The following is a 27812-nucleotide window of genomic DNA, read 5'->3' on the forward strand; positions in this document are numbered from 1 at the left end:
GAGCAGGATTGTTATTAGTTCTTCTTGAAATGTTTGGTAGAATTCAGCAGTGAAGCCATCAGATCCTGGGCTTGTCTGTGATAGGAGACCTTTTATTACTGATTCAATCTCCTGGCTCGTTATGTAATGGTCTGTTATGTCTGCCTCATTCTTCAAGGTGCAATTCAAACCTGGCCTCTTCTGAGAAGCCTTCCTGAAATCCCTCCAGGCAGAACTAATCCCTTCTTCTCTGGGCTCCAATAGCTGGTAATGCAGCCCTGCTGGTAATGCAGCACGTACCACGCCCAAGAACAGTTCTGAGGGTTTCCCTCCCCATAGATAGAAAGCAGCTCCAAGACAAGCAGAGTGACTTGCACTTCCCTCTCTCCCTAGCCCTGTATAGGGAGCTATCCAGTCAATGTGGGATGATTGACTCAGGGCTCAGCAAACTTTCTCGGTACAGGATCCAAGAGGAAGTAACTGAGGTTTTGTGAGCCATACATGGGGTCTCTGTAGCAATTGCTCAACTCTGCCTTGCCGCACAGAGGCAGCCCTGGATAATATGCAAACTATATGCAAATGAGCAGCCTGGCTGAATTCCAGTGAAAACTTACAGCATCAGGTGTCAGGCTGGAGTTGGCCTAAGCTACAAAAGACAGGTTAGGGAGATGGACAATGGGTAGGAAAATACAGTTAGATAGAATGATTGCGATCTAGTGTTTGGTAGCACGATAAGGTGGCTGTAGTTAACAATATTATATATTTCAAAATAACTGACGGAGTGAAATTGGAATGTTCCTAACCCAAAGAATTGATGAATGTGTCAGGTGATGGATATCCCAATTGCTCTAATTTGATTATTACACATTGTATGCTTGCATCAAAATAGCACAGGTACCCTATAAATATGTACAACTAGTATGTATCCATATTAATTAAATATAAAAAAATTAAGACAGGTTATAAAGAGCATAGATAACATTGTTTTAGACATATCCAATGATATGGATAATGGAGTTAGGTATATCCAGATTATACAGTTATGTATGTGTAAACCACATATATACACATATCTATACACATATGTATGTGTACATAGACAAAAACATATGAATGCACAGATAAAACTGAAAGGGCATACATCAAAATGGTAACATATCCAGATGGTAGATTTAGATATAATTTTTCTTTTCTTCTAAGGGTTTTTTAATATATTCTGAAATATTTAATATATTCTGAAATAAACATGTTACTTTGTCACTTTTAAAATGTTATTTTTAAGAATGTTCTCTTAAAAATGCATTTAAACTGACAAATTAGAAAGTGATCTAGTAAAAGCAAGGAGGCTTGTAGATAAATCCTAATTCTAGTGAGTACAACAAATATTTTTTAACAAATATTTTCTATATGCTGATATTTATAAGAGCATTTAAGATAAATCTAGTATAAATGCTGAACTCAGAGTGAGTAAAAATGACAAATACTTATAGGACAATGCATGCAATATTATAGGTGCATACAATGCTCTGAAATGATACAGAGGAGGGCATAATTAACTCTGCAGGAGTTAGGAGGAGGTTCAAAGAAGAGGGCCTGGTGAGTACGGATTTTCAGAATGTAAAGGAATAGAGGGGATGATGTGAAAGGAGGAACCTCCCAAAACAAGACAGCAGGGCAGGGCATGGTGGCTCACACCTGTAATCCCAGCACTTTGAGAGGCCGAGGCAAGAGGATCACTTGCGCCCAGGAGTTTGAGACCAGCCTGGGCAGCATAGTAAGACCCGTCTCTATTTAAATAAGTTCAATATTTTAAAAAGACAACAGAGTGGCCGGGTGCGGTGGCTCACGCCTGTAATCCCAACACATTGGGAGGCCGAGGCAGGGGGATCACGAGGTCAGGAGATTGAGACCATCCTGGCTAACATGGTGAAACCCCGTCTCTACTAAAAGTACAAAAAATTAGCTGGGCATGTTGGCAGGCACCTGTAGTCCAGCTACTTGGGAGGCTGAGGCAGGAGAATGGTGTGAACCCAGGAGGCGGAGATTGCAGTGAGCCGAGATTGTGCCACTGCACTCCAGCCTGGGCAACACTGCAAGACTCCATCTCAAAAAAAAATTTAATTGTAAAATTAAAAGGACAAATATTTAAAGCATGCCAGGCACACCTGACCTTAGTGCCAGGAACTGGAGTGCTTGAAGTAGCTGCAGACAGATTAGCAGCTAGTAACCCATTAAAATGGATAAAATCTCATTCCAGTAAACCCACAACCTTCCAGCGTGGGCCTCATGGCCATCACAAATATGTCACAGTGCTGCAGAGATTTTGTTTATGGCCAGTTCTGGGGCCAGTTTATGGCCAGATTTTGGGGCCTGTTCCCAACACTTCATCATGTTGGTCAGGCTGGTCTCAAACTCCTAGCTTCACGACCCGCTCTCCTTGGCCTCCCAAGTGCTGACGTGAGCCACTGTGCCTGGCCTAAGAACATACATGAATGTCCAATAAGCACATTAAAAAGCGCTCAACATCTCTAGTCACTAGGAAAATGTAAATTGATCCACAATGAGATGTCACTTCACACCCACTAGAACGACTATAACCAATCAGCAGATAACAGCGAGTGTTGGAGAGGATGTGGAGAAATCAAAATCCTCATACACTGCCAGTGAAAATACAAAATGGTGCAGGCTGGGCGCAATGGCTCACACCTGTAATCCCAGCACTTTGGGAGACCGAGGTGGGTGGATCAAGAGTTCGAGACCAGCCTGGGTCAGGAGTTTGAGACCAGCCTGACCAACATGGTGAAACCCTGTCTCTACTAAAAATACAAAATTACTTTTTCACAAGATGGCACTGAAAGCAGAGAAGGAAGCTCCTGCCACTCCTAAAGCCAAAGCCAAGGCTTTGAAGGCCAAGAAGGCAGTGTTGAAAGGTGTCCACAGCCACAAAAAACAGAAGATCTACATGTCACCAACCTTCCAGTGGCCCAAGACACTGCGACTCCAGAGGCAACCCAAAGATCCTCGGAAGAGCACCCCCAGGAGAAATGAGCTTGACCACTATGCTGTCATTAAGTTTCTGCTGACCACTGAGCCGGCCATGAAGAAGATAGAAGACAACAACAACATGCTTGTGTTCATTAAGGACGTTAAAGCCAACAAGCACCAAATCAAACAGGCTGTGAAGAAGCTCTATAACATTGACGTGGCCCAATTCAACACCCTGATTCGGCCTGATGGAGAGAAGAAGGCGTATGTTCAGCCATCTCCTGATTATGATGCTTTGGATGTTGCCAACAAAATTGGGATCATCTAAACTGAGTCCAGCTGGCTAATTCTAAATATATGTATATCTTTTCACCATAAAAAAATACAAAATTAGCCGGGTGCAGTGGCACATGCCTGTAATCCCAGCCACTTGGGAGGCTGAGGCAGGAGAATCACTTGAATCCGGGAGGCAGAGGTTGCACTGAGCCGAGATTGCACCATTGCACTCCAGCCTGGGCAACAAGAGTGAAACTCCGCCTCTAAATAAATAAATAAACAAATAAAATGGTGCAGCCACTTTTTTGGAAGATAGTATGACAGTTTCTCAAAATGTTAAAAACAGAATTGCCTTAAACCCAGCAACTTCACTTCTAAGTATGTACCCAGGGAAGATGAAAATGTATGTCCACACAAAGGCTTGTATGTGAATGTTCATGGCAGCACCATTCACAAGAACCAAAAGGTCAAGACAACCCAAATGCCCATCAACGGGCAAAGGGATTAAAACATGGAACATACAATGGAATACTGTTCAGCAATCAAAAGGAAGTTCTGGTGCATGCTACTACATTGATCAACCTCAACAATGCAATGCTTCATGAAAGAAGCCAGATGCAAAAGAACTCACATTGCCTGATTCAGTTTATATGAAATATCCAGAACAGCCTAATATAGAGACAGAAAGTAGACAACTTGTTGCCTAGGGCTGGGGATGAGAATGAAAAGTAACTCTGATGGGCACAAGTTTCTTTCTGGGATGATAGAATGTTCCAGAAGTAGATTTTGGTGATGGTTGCACAATTCTGTAAATATACCAAATATACTAAAAATCATTGAACTGGACCAGTGTGGTGGTTCACATCATCAATCTCAGCACTTTGGGAGGCTGAGGCAGGAGGGTCACTTGAGCCTAGTAGTTTGAGACCAGCCTTGGCAACATAGGGAGACCCCATCTTTCCAAATAATTGAGAAATTTGTTGGGCATGGTGACACACGCCTGTAGTCCCAGCTATTCCGTAGGCTGAGGCAGGAGGATGGCCTGAGCCCAGGAGGTCTCAGGTCTTAGCATGGCCAAGGAGGACAGCCCTCCGTGATCCTCCCCCTTTCTGAGATCCTCCTCCTGCCCCCAGTGCTCTGTGTTCAAACCTGAGCGCACCCTGTAGCATCACACTCAGCCCCGACTCCCCTGCCTGGGGTGCCCTGCCTGGCCTAGGAACCGGAAAAACCTACCCGCTTCCAAGACTCAGCTCAAGCACCTCTTCCTGCTGGCTGTGTGGGGTATAGTTTGTTTGATTGATTGTTTTCAGACAGAGTCTAGCTCTGTCACTCAGGCTGGAGTGCAGTGGCGCGATCTCAGCTCACTGCAACCTCTGCCTCCAGGATTCAAGTGATTCTCGTGCCTCAGCCTCCCGAGCAGCCTGTAGGCACCAGCCACCACATCCAGCTAATCTTTGTATTTTTAGTAGCTACGGGGTTTCACCATGTTGGCCAAACTGATCTCGAACTCCTTACCTCAAGTGATCCGCCGGCCTCGGCCTCCCAAAGTGCTGGGATTACAGGCGTGAGCCACTGCGACTGGCCTCTGCTGAGTGTTTTCTGATACCCCTCCTGGGAACCCCACACTCCCCTGAAGAGCCTTCTGCCCCAGCGCCTCGCCCCGCTGGTCCTGTATGTTTCCATGGCTGCCTCGCCCTCTTAGACCACAGCCTCCTGCAAAGTAGGGCCCCGTATCTCAGTTGGCTTTGCGCTCCCAGTGCCTGGCACAGAGCCTGGCTCCCATGAGCACTCAACGACCCTTGAAAATTGACCGGAATCCCGGACAGCGCCGAGGTAGCGCGGGGAACGGGAGCGTGATCTGCTGCCCTCTCCTGGCAATGTGAAGCATTGTCCTAAGCACAGACACTTCCCTCTCCGCTGTACAAAAACAACTGCAGGATCGGGAAGCTGGAAAAGGAGCTGATGGAGGATGGGGGATATGGATGCTGTCTAAGAGACAAACTGGATTGAGGGGTTGCTGAGACTCTGCCATCTCCCACACTTTTCCCACGTTCGTGGACGCAGGGGCGAGGTGAGTGCTTTCAAAGGAGGATGCATCCTCAGAGAGGCTCTCGCTCCCCCCATCAAACCCTATACTCTTGGATGAGATCTCGCTTGTCAATATATGCGGTTGCCATGTTGTAACTATCACTGCACCTTTAATTCACTTCAGTGAGCGATCACTGAGTTTTTTCCACCATTGTTGTAAAATTTGTTTTGCTCTTGTGTGTAAAAAGACTGTGAATTTAACCACTGGCTTCTCCTGATATTAACTCGGCTTTCTACGGCTGGGAGGTTGTCTCTGACATTCTGGGTTTCTCAGCCTTCTGTCAAAATCCAAATACAGTCAGTCCGCAGTATACGTGGGGGACTGGCTCCAGGACCCTCCCTTGAAGATACTAACATCACAGGTGCTCAAGCCCCTGATACAGAATGGCACAGCGTTTGCAGACAACCTATGCACACCCTGCAAGCTCTTTCTTTCTTTTTGAAGGAATATAAAACTATTTATTGACCACTGTTCACCAGTATTTACAATAAATTAAACAATATATAGTCGAATAACATTCTGCTTGCTACAGAGTTGTTTTTCCTGGCTTTTGCTGAACCAGTAAAGAAAATAGTCTACATGTAAGGAATGAGTCGGGGTGTGGTAGCACTCCTCACACGGGGACACCAGCTGCAGGGGGTCTGTCCTTTGCAGACCTCTGACCCAGTGACAGATGAATGAAGTACACTGACACTCAGATATTCTGCTTTGCCAGTCCAGCTGAGTGTCTCCGAGCCGCTTACAGACTCCAGCAGAGTCCTGTAAACAGTTGCGACTCAGCCCTGACCAGCTAGTGAGACTCACATTTATTGGTAAAGATTTATTGACAAAAGACTTGAGTCAATACCACTAGAGGGTAATTGACATTGTGGACTTCCCAAGTAGAAAGCACTTAAGCACCCACCGTACATCAAAGGTTAATCTTAAGACCATATGAGTAAACAAGCTAGCTAGATAACTTCCCCACATTCTTTTGTTACTACTTTAATCTATTTAACTAAAGGTAAAGGGACCAGGCTGCCTTTAGCCAGATCTATTACCAAAATTATGCAAACTTCTCGGCCTTCCAAGAAGATTTCTGTCTATCTCTATAACAATCCCTAATATTTTTCCCACCAGCCTGACTGAATCTCTACATTGGGGTAAAGAAGAAACATACAGGTCAATAGTTGAGATTACCAAAGGTTGTTCACACATTTATGGCAGCAGGTCCTAGACTGCCAATACCTCTAACCATCTCACTAGGTTTCTATGAGCCAAGTCTTACATATTCCATGAATCATGACTTTAAGTCAATATAGCAACAGAGATTTCAAAATGTTTTTAAGGAATGGCCCACTGGAGAAACTGTCACATGTTCACTTAACTCAGTTTTGTTTAGCTAATTAAAACACACCGGGATGTGTCTTGTTTCCTCATCTGGATGGGGAAACCTCCAGTGATGGCAGTGATAAAATTTTTCCATTTAGGAATTTTGCAAACAAACCACTTCATTTATAGACATAGATGCTTTAAAATTAGCCGATTTAAATTGTCCTATTAAGTAGAATTACTTATTTCCCTTGAAATGTATGGCTTCAGGAAGCTTTTCACTTTAACTTGAAGTGATCATCTCGTAGCTTGCTTAGAATAATGGCATCTCAAAAACATGGGTTTGCCTGTGGCTTTTGTTTCGGTGAATTTTTTTTAAGAAAACATTTACATGTGCATTTTATGTATACACACACAAAATAAATAAATAAATAAATAAAAATCTAGATGGTCCTTAGGCTTATAAGAAAACAAGTTTGGCCAGGTGCAGGGGCTCATGCCTGTAATCCCAACACTTTGGGAGGCCGAGGCGGGCGGATCACCTGAGGTGAGGAGTTCAAGACCAGCCTGACCAACATGGGGAAACCTCATCTCTACTAAAAATACAAAAATTAGCTGGGCATGGTGGCACATGCCTGTAACCCCAGCTACTTGGGAGGCTGAGGCAGGAGAATTGCTTGAACCCAGGAGGCAGAGGTTGCAATGAGCCGAGATCACGCCATTGCACTTCAGCCTGGGCAACAAAAGCGAAACTCTGTCTCAAAAAAAAAAAAAAAAACACAAGTTCTGATGGAGTAATGGAGTAATGACTGAAAATTTCCCCCAACATATAGAAAAGCTGTTCTTTAATGCAGAAGAAATAATACACCATGGTATCAAATGTTCTTTTCTAATAAAGGAAGTAACTACAGAAATCTTTTATTTATTTGTTCAAAGTAACCAGTATTACTGATGAAAAAAAAACCCCAACAACTCTTCCAACACTACTTTCAAAACAAACATATCAAACTTGATTTTCATTAGAATGTAGTTATTTTGTCACATTAGTAAATCAAAAAGCAAGACCCAAATGTTATATATATATATATATATATACACACACATATATATATACACATATATATACACATATATATATACACATATATATACACATATATATACACATATATATATATACACATATATATATTTTTTAACGTGAACAATTATTGAGTTTCATCTTCTGGACAAAAATGCCAAGTTAGTCTCTCTTCATAAAAAGCAATTACTGGCCAGGCATAGTGGCTCACGCCTGTAATCCCAACACTGTGGGAGGCTGAGGCGGGCTGATCGCTTGAGGCCAGGAGTTTGAGACCAGCCAACCCAACATGGTGAAACCCCATCTCTACCAAAAACACAAAAATTAGCCGGGCGTGGTGGCGAGCACCTGTAATCCCAGCTACTTGGGAGGCTGAGGCAGGAGAATCACTTGAATCCAGGAGGTGGAGGTTGCAATGAGCCAAGATCATACCACTGCACTCCAGCCTGGACGACAGAGCAAGACCGTCTCCAAAAAAACAGCAGTTACAACTGAGAAAACTGCATACTTGCTTCTTTTGCCAGCATGAAGTCTGCCTCACCTGAATCTTTCCACCTCATGAGAAACATCCATTTTCCGCTGCCATCTGTGGCACCAATTACTCTTTCAGGATCAAGACCTGTGGCAAATCCTCTTGGTTTGTCAGCAGCATCTCTTTTCTTCTGTGATTTGCTGACATCAGATTCACTGTGAGATACAGATTTTCTTTTAGTACCATCTTTTTCTTTACCAGCTTTTTGAGAATTAAGAAAAGCTTCAATTAACTCTGGACAAGTTAAATTAAAAAAAAACATTTTGCAAGTGAAAAGACATGCCACAGACTAGAAGATCATTACTATATGTGTGTGTGTGTGTGTGTGTGTGTGTCAAAGCAAATTTTATCTATAATATATCAAGAAATCTCACAGATTAATAACCAGACAACAAAATTCTTTTTTCTTTAATTTTTTTTTTTTTTTTGAGACAGAGTCTCGCTCTGTCGTCCAGGCTGGAGTGCAGTGGCGTGATCTCGGCTCACTGCAACCTCCACCTCCCAGGTTCAAGCAATTCTCCTGCCTCAGCCTCCCAAGTAGCTGGGATTACAGGTGCCTGCCACCATGCCCAGCTAATTTTGTGTATTTTTAGTAGAGACGGGGTTTCGCCATGTTGGCCAGGCTGGCCTTGAACTCCTGACCTCAGGTGATCCACCTGCCTCGGCCTCCCAAAGTGCTGGGATTACAGGTGTGAGCCACCATGCCTGGCCAACAAAATCCTTTAAAATGGACCAAAGATTTAGACAAGTCTTTCACAAAAGAGGCTATCCAGATGGCCAATAAGTATATGAAAACTGTTCAACTTAATTAGCTATCGAGAAAATACAGATTATGTATTATGTATCTAGCTCTACATCCCCCAGGTGCACTAGAATGAAAAGGACTGACAATACCATGTGTTGGCAAGAGTGTGGACAAACTGGTGCTCTTGTACACATTCGGTGGGAGTGTAACCTGAACCACAACTGCAGGCAATTGTCAGTATCTACCAAAACCAAATATAAGGAACACCCAAACCCAGCAATTCCACTTCTTAGGTATCTACCAAACTGAAATAAGCACGTATGTTCATCAAGAGTCATGTACAAAAATATTCAGAGAAGCTTCATTCATCATAGCCAAAAACTGGAAGCCCCAATGTCATCAACAATAGAATGGATACAGTGTGGGGTGTTCAAACCATGGAAGATTACAAAGCAGTGACAGGTAATGAGCTACTCCTGTCTGCCACGAGATGGATGAATTTCACAAACATAATGTGGAAGGAAGGAAGACAGTCATAAAAGAGTCTATACTGTACGACCCCTCTTGAATGATGTGCAAAACAGATACAACTAATCTATTATGACAAAGGTCAGAAGAGTCGTTACTATTGGAGATGACGATTGACTGGGAGGGAACATCCAGGAGCCTTAAGGGTGCTGACATTTTCTACATCTTCATCTGGGTGACAGTTTTGTGGACACATACATATGGAAAAATGTATCAAGCTATACATTTAAGATATATGTTTTGTCCTTTTAAAAGTAAGTAAATATGATTTTCCATATTTCAAGCTCTTTCTCAAGTTCTAGCTCTTTGTGAGGACTTCCCAGAATACTTTTTCCAGATGCTGCCATTCTGCACTTTGAAACTGTGCCACACTGGCTAGTCCTGGGTTCTGCTCTACTTCTCTTTATAGGCAAGCTCCTTAAGGGAAGGTAGATTATGTCACAGACTCTGCACTCCACAGCCTCTGGTACAGACCTAGGAACCTAGTAGGTGCTCAATAAACATCTTTCCACCGGCTGGCCATCTACAGGAAGTATAAATTTGCGGGGGGAGGGGGCAAGCCCTGAGGACAGGGGCTGTGGGACGTTCTCCATCATTTTCCCCTCAAGGAAAGGAAAGAGAGGATGGTTGGGGTGCCACATAATTAATCAATGAAGCCCCTAGCAAACAAGGGCCCCTTAAAAAAAAAGATACCCCTCTTCTCCAAGGGCGTATGAGTCTAACGAGGGACAGATTGGTCTATCCAGGAATCTATGTGAGAATCCCCACCCCTGGCCAGGGCTTCCAGCAACCTTTCTTCCCATGAGAAAATTAAACCTGAGGAGGTAAACCCAACGAAAAACCAAAATAACTCCCCCAGAGGAGGCTACTCGTAGAGAGAAGGGCTACGTAACATCTCATCTGTGAGCCTATGTGAAGAGTGAGACTCAGAGATACAGTGAATACACATTTTGGCTAAATGCTAAAGGGACACATATTTAAGTCAATATCTGACTAAACAAAAACTATTACCAACAAAGAATGAACTTCCAGGATACAAGAATAAATATGAACTCTCAAATAAATTATTGTTCCTATTACAATTCATACCTTTTTTAAAAGTTAGCAGACTGATCATAGAAGTTGGATGTTATAGTGAAGGAACAATGATGTCTTAATTTCTCAATAATGACAGCTGCTGGATTGCTCTTGTGATCACTGCAGTGCACATTTATGATATTAAATATACATTTACTTTCAACTGAGGATGATGGACGTTCAGACTATTTTTCCCAAGTGGCAATCCATGTCCTAGTTATGCTAATTAGATATGATAATAACCTAGACACATACATGATGCTTTTTCATATGTAAAATTTTGTGTTTAGTTTTTGGTAGAGACAGGGTCTCACTATGTTGCCCAGGATGGTCTTGAATTCCTGGCCTCTAGCAATCCTCCTGCCTCAGCCTCCCAAGGTGCTGAGATTACAGGCATGAGCCACTGCACCCGGCCACGTGATCCTTGATCACACACAAGTTCAAGGAAGACAGAAATAATGCTGAAATCAACCTTTGGCTATTTGACCCTCTGAAGATCCAGGCCAAAGCCAAATTTCAGTGCATCCACAGATACAGTAGGATGAAGATTTGCTACTTCCTATCTCCCCAAGAGCAAAACAGAAATATGCGTATTTATCAGAAGGAAGAAATTAGATTTTATAAAAGGAAACAAGCTTTGTTTCAGCAGGACAACCACCAAATATCCCATTACCTCCTCTCAAGGAGATCAGCTAATGGTGGGATTCATGGAAGTGTTGACACCAAGTCTACCTTTAAGGGGCTTTCAGTCTTGTTGGAATGACAGAATATCAGCAGGTGAAGCTACTGTGAGTTACATGAGATAGTCAAGTTCATAGTCAAGTGTCCAGGTGCATAAAGCACAGATGTAATTTAACATTAGAAGAGAAGCACTCCTCTGGAACTAATGGAGCAAAGCCTTATCTAGACCAGTGGCTTTCAACTTCAGGGCTGGAGTCTTCCACATCTTCAACTGCGTATTCCAAGGCCCGGGTCCTGTGGCTCATGTCTGTAACCCCAATACTTTGGGAGGCTGAGGCGGGCAGATCACCTGAGCTCAGGAGTTCGAAACCACCCTGGGCAACATAGTGAGACCCCGTCTCTACAAAAAATAAAATTACTGGGTGTGGTGGCATGTACCCGTAGTCCCAGCTACTTGGGGGACTGAGGTAGGAGGATTGCTTGAGCTCGGGAGATTGAGGCTGCAGTGAGCCATGTTCACGCCACTGCACTCCAGCCTGGGTGACAGAGCTCGAGAGCCTGTCTCAAACAAACAAAAAACACAACTGCATATTCCAGCAATCAACAGGCTGAAATGTGGCACACACACTACCACTCACCTACGCCCTGTGTACCATATACAAGTTCAGGTACTTCACATGTAATATCCCATTGCCAGTCTCAGTGGCTCACACCTGTAATCCCAGCACTTTGGGAGACCAAGGAGGATCACTTGAGTTCAGGAGTTCAAGACCAGCCTGGGCAATACAGGGCGATCCCATCTCTACAAAAAAAATTTTTTTAAGTTAGCCAGGCATGGTGGTCTGTGCCTGTGTAGTCCCAGCTATTCCAGAGGCTGAGGTGGAAGGATTTGCTTCAGCCTGGGAGGCGGAGTCTGCAGTGAGCTGTGATGCACGACTGCATTCCAACCTGGGCGACAGCGTGTGACCCTGTCTCCAAAAAATAAATAACCCATTTAATCTTCAGAGAAAACCCCTGAGAGAAAGGCATTATCATGACAGCCATTTTAGGGACAAGGAAACCTTCCTCCAGGACTCACACGGTGAGTTCAATGATGAAGCTGAGATTTGAATCCAGGTAAAGAGCTTGTGCTGGAATTGGAATCCAGGAGAATCCAATCCAGAGCCCATGAGCTTAACCTTCACGCAGGTCTTCACTATGCACAGGCCTCACATAGGGGCCTACTATTTTTAAATTGTATGAAAATGGGACTAAAATCACTAACATAAATAAATGTTTTAAGAAGTATGTAGAGGCCGGGCACGGTGGCTCACGCCTGTAATCCCAGCACTTTGGGAGGCCGAGGCAGGTGGATCACGAGGTCAGGAGATGGAGACCATCTTGGCTAACACGGTGAAACCCCGTCTCTACTAAAAATACAAAAATTTAGCCGAGCATGGTGGTGGGCAACTGTAGTCCCAGTTGCTTGGGAGGCTGAGGCAGGAGAATGGCATGAACCCGGGAGGCGGAGCTTGCAGTGAGCAGAGATCACGCCACTGCAGTCCGGCCTGGGCAACAGAGCGAGACTCCGTCTCAAAAAAAAAAAAAAAAAAAAAAGAAAGAAAGAAATATGTATTTTTTGGTCAGTAGAGTTTCTATTTTCTCAATCAACAGACACCAAAGTTAACAAGAAAATATGTAAAGGTCTTTAACGGCTTTTTTTTTTTTTGGCATTACATTTTTGACAAATTATACTGGGAACATTCTAACTTAGGCTGGGTGACAGATTTCCAGCTTTCATTGTACTGGTATACTGCATAACATGTATGCATACATGAACACACACACCTATATGCATTTCAGTCTTTTGAACGATCCAAATATCATACAATTATTTGGATGTTAAGTGCATTGGCAGCCTAGGAAGGTCAAGATATGAACTGTAGAAACAAGGGGTCTTCATGTGTAAATGATGGGCCCAGAGTTTGGGATCTGAGCCAGGTCAGCTCTAAGAGGCTCAGTGTGACGAAAACAAAGTTTCTGATCCCAGCAGGAGTCACCTACAGATAAGGTGGATGAGAAAAAGTGTGCTGACTTCCTCCCGCAAAAAAAGGGGACATTTTGGAAGAATTTCGAGTGGTACCGGTTACACATCTTTAATGAGAATACTAACTTAAATGGCCTGGGGAAAGGGTGAGGAGATAGAGGAAAGAGACTAAAACACGTGCACACTTTCTACAGTATATGTACTTTTTATGATCAGAAAAATATCACATAAACGACCAGGAAATATTCTAAGAGAAACAGTAAGTTCCTGCTCCAGGATTCAAGACCCCTAGTTTCCTCCTGTGGTTTCTCCTAGTTTCTGCCTGTGGTCCCCTAGTTTCCTCCTTCACTGTGTGGGGACAGAGCTTCTCACCGGGAACCTTGCCCTCTTGCCCTTCCCTGTCTCACAGACCTCTGTTTTCTTAGCCCTTTGTCCCCATCTCCACTGCAGCGCCTATCAGATCACACTAAAACGACCGTTATTTACCAGCTGCGGAGTTGGAGGCGAGGACTGAGCTAGATACCATACACAGATTCCCGCTTTTTTAACCATTAAATCACCCTCTTTTACAAATGTTACTATCTCTATTTTACAGACAAGAAATCGAGACATGAAGATTAACTAACCTGCCCCAATTTAAACAGCTAACATAACACATGGGCCGCCCAACGTCCCTTACTCCAAAGCACATGCTCATTCCACTAGGGTATTAGGCTATGTGTTAATGTAACGGCAGGCAATCTGAAGGGCTCCACTATGTACGTGCCGAACAGAATTAAAGGGGGGGTCCCACACTGTCCGCTTCCGATGAAGAAAAAGACGCAGAAAAGAAACCGCCACACGTGGAGAATCAGTAGGTGCAAGCCAAGGACAGTTTGCGGTAAACTGCCACCCCGGAAGCCAGCACCCACCATCCTGGTCTCCCGGAGTTTGGGTGACCCCTGGCACTGTTACTTCTGCATAAAAGTAGTGGATTTAACCCCTACAGAGGCAGCGCCCCGTATCCTCTGAAGCTGTCTCCAGCCACCTAAAGAGACGTCTTCATTATGGCTCAACTCATTTGGGCTGTAAATTGCTGAAGCGAAGGGCTTTTTCTTCTGCATCCCTTTCAAGTTCCGTCGGCAGGGACTACAATAAATCATCACATTATGACGCTGAAAGTTCATCTCTAAAAAGCTTTCAATTTAGTTTGATGAGACTAATGGCGTCCAATCGCACAGTGCCGGGCACATAACGGGAAGTCCAAAAATACAGTTATTATTGGAATAAAAATTCAGGCTGGGCGCAGTGGCTCACGCCTGTAATCCGAGAACTTTGGGAGGCCGAGGCGGGCGGATCATTTGAGACCAGATGTTCGAGACCAGCCTGGGCAACATGGCGAAACCCCGTCTCTACTAAAAATACAAAAATTAGTCGGCGTGGTGGCGGACGCCTGTAGTCCCGGCTACAGAGAGCCAAGATCGCACCACCGCACTGCAGCCTGGGCGACAGAGCAAGACCCTGTCTCAAAAAAAAAAAAAAAAGAAAAAAAAATCAGCCAAGACTTGGAAAAAGAAATTTAAAAAAGGAAAATTCATGCAGCCAGTAACTATTGGGACATCACTCACCAGGCACTATGCTAAACTGGGGTTAGGTGCTGAGCAAAACCAGGCCCCTCTCTAGATGGCTCTCTAGGTCCCACGACCATAGCTTAGGTGACACCGGCACCTGCGCGCTCCACAGCCTGTCGAAAAACACTCGGGAAGCAAACATTGAGAAGAAAATACTCCTTCTGTGGGCCTTTAGGAAAACCGAGTGACTTTTTTCGTGAGGGGAACCCATCTTTGTAAGCATTCGCGGAAACGGCAGTTTTATTACCGCCGGGAAGGGTCCCCTGAGTGTGTGCCCCATCTGAGTTCCGAGCTGGGCGGGCCATGCCTTGCCAACCCCGCTGCTCGCAGCATCTGCAGGCGCTGAGCGAGGCATCGCTGCCTGGCCGGGGCTTCTCGGATCTGGGGAAATCGAGGTCGCTTTCCCCGGCTCTCTGCAGCGGGGCAGCGCTGTCCACTCACTCCCCGCTCCCCGCGCACGCCCTTGCCCTCTTTCCCCCAAGTAGGGAAGGGTCTACGCGGGTCATAGCAGAGAGGCCACGCCGCCCGTGGTGACGGCCGGTCCCGGGGAGGGGGCGCCGCCACTGCCATCCCGCAGCCTGCGCTCCCCACACCCCGCCGCAGGCGCAGCGGACTGGTGGAGTGATGTCGGGAGATCGATCGAGAAGAATCTGGAAGAATCCGGTTAGACAGGGAAGCGGGCGGGGATGGGAGGGAGGGAGGAAGGGCCAAGGGAGGCCGCCGGGGAGATCCCGAGTCCGAGGGTCCCAGGAGAAGGGGGAGGGGGCAGGCAGCCAGAAGGAGGCAAGAACCAAAAAAAAAAAAAGAAAAAAAAATTCCGAAGCGCCCGCAGCACTGAGCCCGAACCGGCTCAGTCCCGCCGTCTCTAGAAAGTTCTGCACCCCGCCCCCTCTGTCTGCGCTCCCGCTCCTCCCAGCCCCTCCCTCGCGGCGGGGCGGGACCAATCGCTCCCCGAGCCGCTCCTGACCCACCTACCCCAGCTCTCGCGCCGCGTGCAGAGGTGCTCAAGCCTCCTCGCGGTCCGCAGTCAGTGCCGCCGCGCCCGGCCTCCCGCACGCCCCGCAGGTAGCGCCCCCGCCCGCGGCCCAGAGTGCGCTCGCGCCGGCACCAGCTCCCGGATAAACGGCGCGCCGCGCGGAGATGACAGCCGAGGAGATGAAGGCGACCGAGAGCGGGGCGCAGTCGGCGCCGCTGCCCATGGAGGGAGTGGACATCAGCCCCAAACAGGACGAAGGCGTGCTGAAGGTGAGGGGCGGCGGGGCCTGCGGAGGCGTCGGAACCCGGGGCCCCGCGGGCCGCCCTTCCGCCGCGCCCGGAGCCCGCGGCCGGGCACGGGTCGAGGCGGCCGCCTTTGCAGCCTCGCGGCCGTCCCGCCGGGGGCCGGTGGCATCGCCGTCCCGGACCGGGCTGCGTCGTTTAAGGCACCGAGGCCGGCCATGCGCTCGGCAGGGGGGCGGCCTAGGTGCGCGGGCCGAGGCCCCAGGCTCCCCAGCCGGCAGCGCCCGGGCCCGGGCAGGGGGTCGGGATTGCAGTGCCCACCCCGGCGCGCGCGGGGCGGCGGAGAGGGGCGGGGCGAGGCGACCGCCGCGGGCACCCGAGCCGCAGCCCGGGGCCAGGCCGGGCCTCCCACGCCACGCCGCCCCCGACCTCGCGGCCCCAGCGGAGCTGCCAGCCGCGGGCCGCCTCGTTGGTGGCGGTGCCAGGGCTCGCCCACCCGGGCGGTGGAACACGGGCCAGGACGGGGAGCGACTCCCCACAGTGCTTTCCTGGCCCTTCGGCCTTTGTGCGACGCAGGCGCGACAGGGTTCCGGCGCCCTCCCGGGGTCCCCTGCCGACGCCGGGACCCAGCGAGGTCCCCACTCGCCGCGCGGCGCCCCCTCCCTCGGCCCCGGGGAGGCCGGGCGCGGGGCATGCCGGGAGCTGTAGTCCCCTCCCCCCTCCGCCGCCTCCCGGAGCCAGGGCTGCGGGGTGTGGGGCGGGGAGGAGGCGCTCTGCTGTGGAGCCTGCCGCCGAGTGACCGCTCGACTACAAATAGCCTGGGGAGCTGCGGGGAGGGCATCTTGACCTGGGCCAGGACAACCTGCCTTGGGTCGGAGCAGGTTCCAGGGAGAATCAGAGATGGTGAATTCCCAGCCTGCGTCTTATGCCTTCTCCCCATCCGCTGCTGCGTCCTCATCCTGGCTTCCCACCGCTGAGCTCCGCGTGTGCGGCACCCACCTCAGGGGGCCTTTACCTGGTCCAGAAGTGCATCTGTCTTTGCACCAGATTATTGGGGACCTCAAGCGTCTGCTCCAGCGGCTCTCCTGTGGCATGTGACTTCCCCTTCTCGCTCCAGCGTCCTGCCGTTTTCTACGAGATTGTTATTCCAGGAAAGCTCATTTCCCCTTTGATCCATCATTCCTTCCCTTTTACCTTTCTACTCCTCAAAGCCCCTGTCTATTCTTCGTGGAAGCTTTCCCTTGGAGGGTAACCACACACCTACCAGGTGGCGCTAAAGAAGCCTTTACGTTTCTGGGAAATACTCCAGCCCTGGACTAACTACCAGAGGAATACTCAGCTCCCAAGTCAGAGTTTAAGGTCCCATGGAGAGCCTCCGGGTTCACCTATAACCTGGTTTCTTCCTTACCTGTTTTGAACTGTTTCTATTCTCTTCACTCATACTCCTCTCGCTCTCCTGTCTCCAAACCAGACCTTAGTCTGACGACCACTGGCATGAAGGAAGAAGGAGGAAGTGTGGCATAAATACTTCCCCCTTTGCCGATTATAATAATAATCTATTATTCAACCTTTTACTGGTCTAATCTTCCAACAACTGTAGGAGATAGGGATTATCATCACTGCTTTACAAATAAAGTGTGGAGAATTTTAAAAACTTACCATACAGCGGAAACTTGAACTCAGATCTCTCAGCCTTTTGTCTCCTTTTTCAAACCAAGTCTTGCTGCACCTCAAGAAAGACAAGAAGGTTAGTTGACTCATAAGCCAAGCTGCTAGTAACTGAATCTGGAGGGACAAGTAGGCAGAGGAGGATGAACACAGAGAAGTCCCTTTATGTTCCCTCTGGAGGCTTGCAGGCAGTGCTGGTGCCCCTTTCTGCCCCAAACCCTGGGGTACTCACTTTCTCCCCCTTCCTCCCAGGTCATCAAGAGAGAGGGCACAGGTACAGAGATGCCCATGATTGGGGACCGAGTCTTTGTCCACTACACTGGCTGGCTATTAGATGGCACAAAGTTTGACTCCAGTCTGGATCGCAAGGACAAATTCTCCTTTGACCTGGGAAAAGGTAGGCGTGGTCAGTGGGCTGGTAGGATAGGTTCGAGGTGGACACAAGCTGTCACAAGCAGAAACCATTTTCTCAGGACCAAGCTCAGGGAGGAATGGTTTATCACAGTCTGTTAACTCTTTCGGTCACTCTTTTTTTTTTTTTTCTACCGTTCTGTAACTATATTGATCTCTGTCTCCCCTTCTCCTCATCACCTCCCAACACCTTACTCCCCCTTCAAAGGTGGACTGTCTTGCATCTTAAACTCTTTTGTTCAGGGTCACGTGATCTTTTACAGTTCTTAGACCTGGTAGCACTTAATACAACCAGGTACCTCACCTTCTGGTCCCATTTCTAAAGGATGTCCAGCTTCCCCATGAGTGTGGTGCAGTAACTCTTCAGGAGCACTGTTTGAGCCCAGAATCAGAACCCTGCTAAGGCGGTCCTGTTTGCTTCTGTACCTGCAGGGGAGGTCATCAAGGCTTGGGACATTGCCATAGCCACCATGAAGGTGGGGGAGGTGTGCCACATCACCTGCAAACCAGAATATGCCTACGGTTCAGCAGGCAGTCCTCCAAAGATTCCCCCCAATGCCACGCTTGTATTTGAGGTGAGTGTTTGGTCACTGAGATCCAGGCTAAGAGCCAGGCCTTATCTCAGCCCAATGCCTGGCTGCCCTCCAGCCCTTCCTGCTTCTTGGAGACAATGTAGCCAAGGCTGAGGGTCTGGCCTTATGGGAGGAGAAATGCAGAGGGCTCTGCTGCTGCTAGTAATGGAAGTAATAGAAGCTTCGGGTGGGAAGAGGCAGGCACAAGCCCCTCTCCAGACTCAAAGCATGGTCAGGGTTAAGGCATCTTTATCTCCAGAGCGGTACCCAGAAGAATACTGAAAGGAGTCGGGATGTCAGAAACTATGTCCCGTTATAAATGGCAGTACAGAATATTGGTGCTCTAGAGACCAGAAGAGGGAGCAGTAGCTCCCCTGTGGGTCAAGGGCTGAGAAAAGGCTTCACTGAGGAGATAGAACTTGACATTGTTCAATCTGAAAATGGTTGAGCCAATCCGTGGGCCCTTGAATACTGAGAAACTGCTGAGAGATGTTGGGTAATCATTTCTAATACCTACCAGGTTGGGCTTATCAGGTAGTGTGAATTAGGATTATCTGGGACGCGTCCTGATATGTCCGTGTTAGTAGAGCAGGTAGCAAATAGATTGCTCTCCTCAGCTTAACTGAAATCTATGTAGTCTGCCCACCTCTACCAAAGTTGAGATTAGGGCAGCTCCCAAGAACTGAAAAAAAGTGCCACTCTACCCAACTCCTTGTGACTGCCCTTGTGGTCAGATCCGGCCTGGCAGTTAGTAGGGACTCTCTCGGATGAGAAAGATTGTGTTTCACTGCCCATGAGTTAGCATGGGAAGGAATTGTGTCACATCTTGTCCCACAGGTGGAGTTGTTTGAGTTTAAGGGAGAAGATCTGACGGAAGAGGAAGATGGCGGAATCATTCGCAGAATACAGACTCGCGGTGAAGGCTATGCTAAGCCCAATGAGGGTGCTATCGTGGAGGGTGAGACAGTACAGTCTGGGCTTTCAATTCTCATTCTGATATTTAGGCCTTGTGTGGCTTTGGGCAAGACACTTCCGTTCTCCGAGCCTATCTTCTTGTCCATAAAATGAGGGGTTGGACCATATTCTCTTCATATCACTCCAGATTTGAGAACACAGGAGAATCTTGGGATGATGGGGGTGATGCAGGGAGGCTGATGGCATCCTTCCTCAGTCACCTGCCCTCTTACAACTCTGGTACACTGCCTCTCTTTCATGCCAGTTGCACTGGAAGGGTACTACAAGGACAAGCTCTTTGACCAGCGGGAGCTCCGCTTTGAGATTGGCGAGGGGGAGAACCTGGATCTGCCTTATGGTCTGGAGAGGGCCATTCAGCGCATGGAGAAAGGAGAACATTCCATCGTGTACCTCAAGCCCAGGTGAGGGGTGGGCACTTCGTAGGGTAGGCAGGCAGGCAAACCAAGATCAAAGATATAAAATGAATTGTAGAACCAGCTGTTTGTATCCTTTTTAACTCTGGCCACACCAAACATACACCATTATGATATCCTCAGTGTACTTAGAAGTATGGCCCAATTGTCTACATCTCCTTGGATCTAAGCCCAGTCTTTTCAGTCATAGTTGCTACAGATTCTCTCCTCTGCCATCAAGATTTTCCTCTCCCATTAATTCATTTCAGTCATTACTGAAACAGCTACTACATGCCAGGCACTGCTGAAAATTCCTATAGGGCTTCAGAGACTAATAGAACATTGTTTCTGCCTTCTAATTCTAGCTCATTGTTTAGTGAGGTGCTATTTAAATTAGTAATCACACTGCTGCCTGGCTGTAAGTTATTAGAAGGGTATGAAGGATGCTGAGGGACCATCTGACAGTGTGAAGAGGCCAGGGAAGATTTGCCAAACATTTGAACCAAGTCTCAAGGGATGGGAAGGTACTTTCCAGGAAATGGACAGGAAGCCTTTTCAGCCTGGAGCAGGTTAAGTGTTGCCAAGATGATACATAGTGTTTTTCACCCCTCCAGCTATGCTTTTGGCAGTGTTGGGAAGGAAAAGTTCCAAATCCCACCAAATGCTGAGCTGAAATATGAATTACACCTCAAGAGTTTTGAAAAGGTAAGTTTGCTCAGGGTCTTCCCATCTAAAGTCAAGTTCCACCCTGTACGTGACTCTGGGGTAGCTGACAACTTTGTTTCTCTCCTGGGGTGTGGCAGGCCAAGGAGTCTTGGGAGATGAATTCAGAAGAGAAGCTGGAACAGAGCACCATAGTGAAAGAGCGGGGCACTGTGTACTTCAAGGTGAGCCAACAGTCATTGTCCTAAGGACACTCCCAGGAAGAGTTGCTCTGAGCCTCCCCTTCCCTTGGTGACTGAGATCATTTTCTGCCAAGAAGTGGACAGGTTGGCACCTGCCATCTTCACTTCATATATGTGAGCTTGCTGGCCTTGCCAGTGGGAAGGGTGGGAGCAGGAACCTCTTGTGGCCATGTGTCACTGATGTCTGCAGGGTATAAGAGCCTAGTACCACTGAAACTGTGCCAGGTGCCTGAGCCTCTCTCCCATTCCAGGAAGGTAAATACAAGCAAGCTTTACTACAGTATAAGAAGATCGTGTCTTGGCTGGAATATGAGTCTAGTTTTTCCAATGAGGAAGCACAGAAAGCACAGGCCCTTCGACTGGCCTCTCACCTCAACCTGGCCATGTGTCATCTGAAACTACAGGCCTTCTCTGCTGCCATTGAAAGCTGTAACAAGGTGAGGCCCCCTCAGAGGTCATGGAAGCAGCATTCACAGGCAGAGTTGGGTGAGCTGCCAGCATGTCTGAAACTTCCCCTTGGTGACTAGGGCAGGGATAGCAGGGTGGATCAGTGGGAGCTCTGAGGTTACAGACCAAAGGCACGGATGCAAGTATTCATAGCAAGAACCTTAGCTTTGGTGGGAAGCAGTTGGCAAGAAGGAGGAGGACACGGAATGGGAAGAATCACATAAAGAGTTTTCTTCCACCTTGGTTCTTAGCCTCTCCGCTTACCTACTTGCTTTATTCTAAAGTGAATGTTAATGTCTGAAGTCTTTATTTCATCCAAAGACCTGCTGTCTTCCCTCTCTGCCTGTTGGATTAAATGAGGTCCCTGGATTGTTCCATTTAATGCCTCAGGCCTTGTTCTTCCTGGGGTGCAGCCAGCCACTTGCATTCCTCCTCATCCTCCTGAGGGGTACCTTTGGAACCCAGTCTAGGCCAGATGAGCTACAAGCCCTGAGCTCCCACAATGTGGCTTCCTCTCTGCATTCTTTAGGCCCTAGAACTGGACAGCAACAACGAGAAGGGCCTCTTCCGCCGGGGAGAGGCCCACCTGGCCGTGAATGACTTTGAACTGGCACGGGCTGATTTCCAGAAGGTCCTGCAGCTCTACCCCAACAACAAAGCCGCCAAGACCCAGCTGGCTGTGTGCCAGCAGCGGATCCGAAGGCAGCTTGCCCGGGAGAAGAAGCTCTATGCCAATATGTTTGAGAGGCTGGCTGAGGAGGAGAACAAGGTGAGGATTGGGGTGGGGAACAGTTGGAATAGCATCCCTCCACTTAACCTGGCTACTGTGGGCTCTTTGTGCCTTTGGTTGTCTGTGCCAATCCCGGAAACCAGAAGTTGCCTTTTCCCTGGAGCATTAAGGAGCACGTGTTCCTGCTGTTGGGGCCAGTGTTCTGTGATCAGTGCGGGAAACCTACCCACAAGCCCCAGAAGTTGGGTTGGTTGCCCTGAGTGTAATTCCCGATTTATGTTTTCTTGTGGGCCAGGCGCCGTGGCTCACACCTGCAATCCCAGCACTTTGCAGAGCCAAAGTGGGAGGATCACTTGAACCCAGTAGGTAGAGACCTCAGTGACTTAGGATGGCACCACTGCACCCCAGCCTGAGTGACAAAATGAAACCCCATCTCAAAAAAAGAAAAGCGAGATGCTTTTTGTGTGTGATTAAATAAATAATACACTTAGTTAAATTCAAACTGTACCAAAGTATACAGTCAAGTCTGCCTCCCCCACCAGAAGCAGCTGCCCCTTCAGGGTCTTGGATGGTCCAGTGTATTGCGTCAAGGCACAGGCAGACGTTCCTGTTGCTTCCTCCCTTTCCCCTAACACAGGCAACGTGCTCCACCTATGATTTGGCGCATACTATGCTTTTTTCACGTAATAGTAGCTGGAGGCTTATTTTACATCCGTATTTAAAGAACTTTTACATTCTTTCTTAGGCTTACATTGTATTCCATTGTATGGATATGGCTTGTCTTAGTCAATCAGTCCCTTTTTAGTCTTCCAGTGGTTTTATTTTTTTTCTTTTTCTGAGACAGAGTTTCGTTCTTGTTGCCCAGGCTGGAGTGCAATGGCATGATCTTGGCTCACTGCAAACTCCACCTCCTGGGTTCAAGCGATTCTCCTGCCTCGGCCTCCCGAGTAGCTGGGATTACAGGCGCCCGCCACCACACCCGGCTAATTTTTGTATTTTTAGTACAGACGAAGTTTCATCATGTTGACCAGGCTCTCGAACTCCTGACTTTAGTGATCTGCCCACCCCTGCCTCCCAAAGTGGTGGGATTACAGGTGTGAGCCACCACACCCAGCCAGTCTTAAACAGTGTTCTAAACCAGCACTGTCCAGTAGAAATACAGTATCAACCACATGTAATTCAAAATTTTCTGGTAACCATGTTAAAAAGGTGAAAAACAAATGGAATTAAATTTTAGTTGCATTTGTGTATTTTTCAAACCATCTTCAAAATCCAATGTATATTTTGCACTAAAAACACGAGTTTGAACTAGCCACTTACAGTAGTGGCTACCATACGGGACAGTGCTGCTTAGAACAGCATTGCAGTGAATAACCTCATGAGTTCATAATTTGTACATATACAAGTGTTCTGTTTTGTTTTGTTTGAGACAGTGTCTCTTGCCCTGCCGCCCAGGCTGGAGTGCAGTGGCACAGTCTCAGTTCACTGTAACCTCTGCCTCCAGGGCTCAAGTGATCCTCTTGTCTCAGCCTCCCGAGTAGCTGGGACTACAGGTGCATGCCACCACGCCCAGGTAATTTTTGTAATTTTTGTTGAGATGAGGTTTCACCATGTTGCCCAGGCTGATCTCAAACTTCTGGGCTCAAGCAATCTGACCACCTCAGCCTCCCAAAGTGCTGGGATTACAGGCATAAGCCACCAGGCTTGGCCTATACAGGTATAGCTTTAGGACAGATGTAGGAGAATGGGTGTATCTGTGTAATTCTGCTGGAAATTAAGTGTGTGTTTTTTCACTTGGGAAGTCAGCCCGTTTGCTGTTCATCTTCCTTGCAGGCCAAGGCAGAGGCTTCCTCAGGAGACCATCCCACTGACACAGAGATGAAGGAGGAGCAGAAGAGCAACACGGCAGGGAGCCAGTCTCAGGTGGAGACAGAAGCATAGCCCCTCTCCACCAGCCCTACTCCTGCGGCTGCCTGCCCCCCAGTCTCCCCACTCCACCCTGTTAGTTTTGTAAAAACTGAAGAATTTTGAGTGAATTAGACCTTTATTTTTCTATCTGGTTGGATGGTGGCTTTAGGGGAAGGGGGAAAGGTGTAGGCTGGGGGATTGAGGTGGGGAATCATTTTAGCTGGTGTCAGCCCCTCTTCCCTTCCTCCATTGCACATGAACATATGTCCATCCATATATATTCATCAGAATGTTAATTTATTTTGCTCCCTCTGTTAGGTCCATTTTCTAAGGGTAGAAGAGGCAAGTGGTAGGGATGAGGTCTGATAAGAACCCAGGGTGGAGAGGGAGACTCCTGGGCAGCCGTTTTCCTCATCCTTTCCCTCTCCCAGTCCATTTCCAAATGTGGCCTCCATGTGGGTGCTAGGGACATGGGAAAAACCACTGCTATGCCATTTCTTCTCTCTGTTCCCTTCCTCACCCCCGACGGTGTGGCTGATGATGTCTTCTGGTGTCATGGTGACCACCCCCTGTTCCCTGTTCTGGTATTTCCCCTGTCAGTTTCCCCTCTCGGCCAGGTTGTGTCCCAAAATCCCCTCAGCCTCTTCTCTGCACGTTGCTGAAGGTCCAGGCTTGCCTCAAGTTCCATGCTTGAGCAATAAAGTGGAAACAATAAAACCTGGGTGTCAGACAACCCTTTCTGTTCAGCCTTGGAGTGGTGGGTATGGGTGGGTACATAATGGGTAGTAGCACAATCAAGGGGTCACCCACTTAGTTCCAGTTGAGCTTAAATAAGTGAGCATCTCATGTAGATGCCATAGTTGGGCAGGAAGCAGCCCCACCATGCATGGCTTCCTGAGCACTGCACAGGCTGCCGCTGGGATTTGTGTCTATGGCTTCGCCCAAGGTTCCCAGCACTCCCTCCCTCCAGCAACCTGGCAGTTTTAGTGCCTCTGGTTTTCTTCCCTGACACTTAGGAAGACGAAAGTATAAAGATCTAGAAGACTGGGACACCATGCATGTTCATTTTGAAGTTGGAATTGGTCTTCTGCCTACCTCTGATCTGGCAGAGGTATCTGCATTTTGGTTTGTTAACAAGGTAAAACTCCTGGTGTCACTGACCTCCTCCTGTCAGATAACTTACATGATTAAGGTTAAGAGTAAAGCAGAGTGTTCACGTCCAGCTTCCTTCTCAGCCTTAACAGGAAAAGGCTTGTGCTTTTTTTCTAACTATGCTTTGACCCTTAACTCCTATGGCATGATGGGGCCCTGGGAGAAGCCAGGCAGCACAAGCCAGTCATGCTGAGCTGCCTCCAGATAATCCTGGCTCCAGGCCAGAGCCCGTGTCTGCCCTCATCCCTCTCTCCTACTGTGAGCTCTCCAGTCCTTTCCCAACAGCGATGTGGTTGTCTGCTTAGCCACATGCCTGTATAGTTCCTTCCAGAAGAAATGTATAATGGTGGAAGATGTATTTCTGTGTGAAAATTTTCACCAAGTCATACAACACAGCTGATGCTGGAGCCAGGATTAAAATTGGGGTGTACAAGTCTCCCAGTGTGAGTATCCCTTGAGCCCAAGACACCAAGGATGCAGAGAACTGTGACTGTGCCACTGCACGCCAGCCTGGGCAAGAGAGTGAGACCATCTCTTTTTTAAAAAAGTCCCTGTGTAACTGCTTTCTTACTGGGCTTACCTCACATCACAGCCCTGTGTTTGTGGTTTGTGTCTGGGTCCTCTTGGTATTTCAAAAGTAGTAGATTCTTACGCCTGCAGCCAACAATAATCACTAACTCAAGCATTTATGGAGTAAGCCTAGCACTGTACTGACAGCATCACATGAGTGAAACTGAATCCTTGCAACCATCCTACAAAGAAGGTATAACTTTAATAACCCTATTTACAGATAAGAAAACCAAGACTCAGAAGTTAAATGGAAAGGTGAGGTCTCTGAACTAATCCAGACTCTCCCATGAGGTTCCTTTGGCAAGTCCTGGGCTTCTGTCCTCATCTGCAAAATCGAAAGCATTCCTGAGGTTTCTTCCAGCTCTGCATCCTGTAGGATTCCAAGAATGTAAAACTGCATGTAACCGTGGAACATCTAGAGATAAGTCTTAGTTTATGTAACATTAAAACTGTCTAGTGAGGATGTTTTGTTAAAATGCCTACAAGTCTTTCAGCCTAAAAATAATCCTGCCACATACTCAAGTCTGCCCTGGGTCAGTGCTACAAGTTCATTTCCCAGTCAGTTGTCCCTGCCTACCGACACTTAAATCTTTCTATATGCAGAGAAATGTGCCTGAAGAAAGAAAAGTTAGTAGCAAGCAGTACTGTGAGCTTTTAACAAGCTTTGCAAGTGGTCTCTAGAAAAATTTAAAATAGGGTTTATCTTGCCCTAGTGCTGGTTCTAACATCGAGTTCCATGAATTTTATCTCCCAAGTATTTCTACTCCCTCCATACTAGTACCGCTCCCTCCCATCACCATGCACTCCAGCCTGCTCTCCTGCAAATCCCAGGCTCCTATCTGGGATTCCCTCCTGCCCCTCCTGCAGTTCACTCTGTACTGCATCCCAATCGTGTCCCTCCGAGTACTTAAATCACTTTCAATGATTACCCATCCCATTTAGGCTAAAGAATCCTTATCATGGCCCACAAAACCCTGCAAGGCTTGGCAAAGTGCACTTAACACTTGCCCTCACTCTATGCCAGCTTCGCCACCCTGAGGGTGAATGGAGGACTGTATTCCATTTCCATTGGAGAAAAAATATGTGAAAGGCACTTTATGCAGGACTAGTAAAGTGTAGTATCTTTTTAGAAAATGTCATTACTGGAAAAAGTTAGAAAGCAGAACTTCTCAAACCTTATTCCTGTTACGTCTCAGTGACTAATTTTCCCTTTCCAAATGCAAAACACCTCAGAACCTTAAAACAAGTTGAAACGACAATGCATTAAGGGCAGTGCTGAATACAACCAATGTAAGAGTCTGGACATTGTAAGTAAGGAAAATTTGTTCTCTTTCTGGAATTCATTATTGCTGCCTTATGGCTACAGTTCCCCAGCTGTTTGCCAACCTCAGATGATGTGGATGCATTAACTATCCCCAGTTAGAAAACCTAGAAATAATAAAAACATTAATTTATCCTGTGCTAAATAACACTACCAATTTTTTTAATTTAATTTATTTTCTTTTTTTTTTTTTGGAGATGGAGTCTTGCTGTGTTCCCCAGGCTGGAGTGCAGTGGCGCAATCTTGGCTCACTGGAACCTCCACGTCCTAGGTTCAAGCAATTCTCTCTCAGCCTTCCAAGTGGCTGGGACCACAGGCGCACGCCACCACGCCTGGCTAATTTTTGTATTTTTAGTAGAGACAGGGTTTTGCCATATTGATCAGGCTGGTCTTGAACTCCTGACCTCAGGTGATCCACCCGCCTTGGCCTCCTAAAGTGCTGGAATTACAGGCGTGAGCCACTGCGCCCAGCCTATTTTTTTTTTCTTTTTTTTGTTTTTTTGTTTGTTTGTTTGTTTAAGACAGGGTCTCACTATTTTGCCCAGGCTCAGTGCAGTGATGCAGTTACAGCTCACTGCAGCCTCGACCTCCTGGGCTCAAGAGATCCTCCCAACTCAGCCTCC

At 47.4% G+C, this 27812-nt stretch overlaps 1 protein-coding gene, 1 long non-coding RNA gene and 2 pseudogenes across 4 annotated transcripts in view, besides 8 other annotated features; 2 read left to right on the top strand and 2 right to left on the bottom strand.

The window, feature by feature from the left end:
• The window catches only part of ITFG2-AS1 (ITFG2 antisense RNA 1), a 70299-nt gene that overhangs the window by 36454 nt on the left and 6033 nt on the right, over positions 1-27812 (bottom strand). The window contains exon 2 of one of the 2 annotated variants that reach the window (NR_146317.1): positions 17798-17867. This is a non-coding gene — a long non-coding RNA (ITFG2 antisense RNA 1). Of the gene's footprint in view, positions 1-17797; positions 17868-26051; positions 26239-27812 lie in introns of those variants that run through there. The other variant, NR_146318.1, reaches the window with a different exon arrangement.
• RPL23AP14 (ribosomal protein L23a pseudogene 14) lies at positions 2815-3341 on the top strand (annotated as a pseudogene).
• Positions 4348-4849: an enhancer, noted in NCBI's record as "H3K4me1 hESC enhancer chr12:2892593-2893094 (GRCh37/hg19 assembly coordinates)". NCBI's record gives its function as "activates a minimal SCP1, AML or CMV promoter by ChIP-STARR-seq in naive H9 embryonic stem cells {active_cell/tissue: H9 hESC(naive)}" and the evidence as "EXISTENCE:reporter gene assay evidence [ECO:0000049][PMID:30033119]".
• On the bottom strand, positions 8168-8503 carry CBX3P4 (CBX3 pseudogene 4; annotated as a pseudogene).
• Positions 14770-15315: an enhancer, noted in NCBI's record as "H3K27ac-H3K4me1 hESC enhancer chr12:2903015-2903560 (GRCh37/hg19 assembly coordinates)". NCBI's record gives its function as "activates a minimal SCP1, AML or CMV promoter by ChIP-STARR-seq in primed H9 embryonic stem cells {active_cell/tissue: H9 hESC(primed)}" and the evidence as "EXISTENCE:reporter gene assay evidence [ECO:0000049][PMID:30033119]".
• Positions 15316-15860: an enhancer, noted in NCBI's record as "H3K27ac-H3K4me1 hESC enhancer chr12:2903561-2904105 (GRCh37/hg19 assembly coordinates)". NCBI's record gives its function as "activates a minimal SCP1, AML or CMV promoter by ChIP-STARR-seq in primed H9 embryonic stem cells {active_cell/tissue: H9 hESC(primed)}" and the evidence as "EXISTENCE:reporter gene assay evidence [ECO:0000049][PMID:30033119]".
• Positions 15316-16089: a biological region, named in NCBI's record as "H3K27ac-H3K4me1 hESC enhancer GRCh37_chr12:2903561-2904105".
• Positions 15710-16089: a silencer, noted in NCBI's record as "silent region_4130". NCBI's record gives its function as "represses an Ori minimal core promoter by ATAC-STARR-seq in GM12878 lymphoblastoid cells {active_cell/tissue: GM12878}" and the evidence as "EXISTENCE:reporter gene assay evidence [ECO:0000049][PMID:35858748]".
• FKBP4 (FKBP prolyl isomerase 4) lies at positions 15891-26344 on the top strand. Of its 2 annotated transcripts, none has more exons than NM_002014.4 (10): positions 15891-16165; positions 18059-18203; positions 18650-18792; positions 19627-19747; positions 20009-20165; positions 20771-20861; positions 20960-21043; positions 21313-21498; positions 22038-22277; positions 24072-26344. In NM_002014.4, the coding sequence occupies exons 1-10, from the start codon at positions 16061-16063 to the stop codon at positions 24177-24179; spliced, it is 1380 nt and encodes a 459-aa protein (NP_002005.1). In that variant the 5' UTR covers positions 15891-16060; the 3' UTR covers positions 24180-26344. The 2 variants fall into 2 exon arrangements, with proteins under 2 accessions (NP_002005.1, XP_047284495.1); XM_047428539.1 differs by lacking the exon at positions 15891-16165 and adding an exon at positions 16862-17289.
• Positions 16120-16179: a silencer, noted in NCBI's record as "silent region_4131". NCBI's record gives its function as "represses an Ori minimal core promoter by ATAC-STARR-seq in GM12878 lymphoblastoid cells {active_cell/tissue: GM12878}" and the evidence as "EXISTENCE:reporter gene assay evidence [ECO:0000049][PMID:35858748]".
• Positions 16530-16939: a silencer, noted in NCBI's record as "silent region_4132". NCBI's record gives its function as "represses an Ori minimal core promoter by ATAC-STARR-seq in GM12878 lymphoblastoid cells {active_cell/tissue: GM12878}" and the evidence as "EXISTENCE:reporter gene assay evidence [ECO:0000049][PMID:35858748]".
• Positions 17354-18553: an enhancer, noted in NCBI's record as "BRD4-independent group 4 enhancer chr12:2905599-2906798 (GRCh37/hg19 assembly coordinates)". NCBI's record gives its function as "activates an origin of replication core promoter dependent on BRD2, P300/CBP, MED14 and CDK7 cofactors, and independent of BRD4, by STARR-seq in HCT116 cells {active_cell/tissue: HCT116}" and the evidence as "EXISTENCE:reporter gene assay evidence [ECO:0000049][PMID:35650434]".

This window comes from Homo sapiens, chromosome 12 (assembly GCF_000001405.40).
Source record: "Homo sapiens chromosome 12, GRCh38.p14 Primary Assembly".
Taxonomy (NCBI): domain Eukaryota; kingdom Metazoa; phylum Chordata; class Mammalia; order Primates; family Hominidae; genus Homo; species Homo sapiens.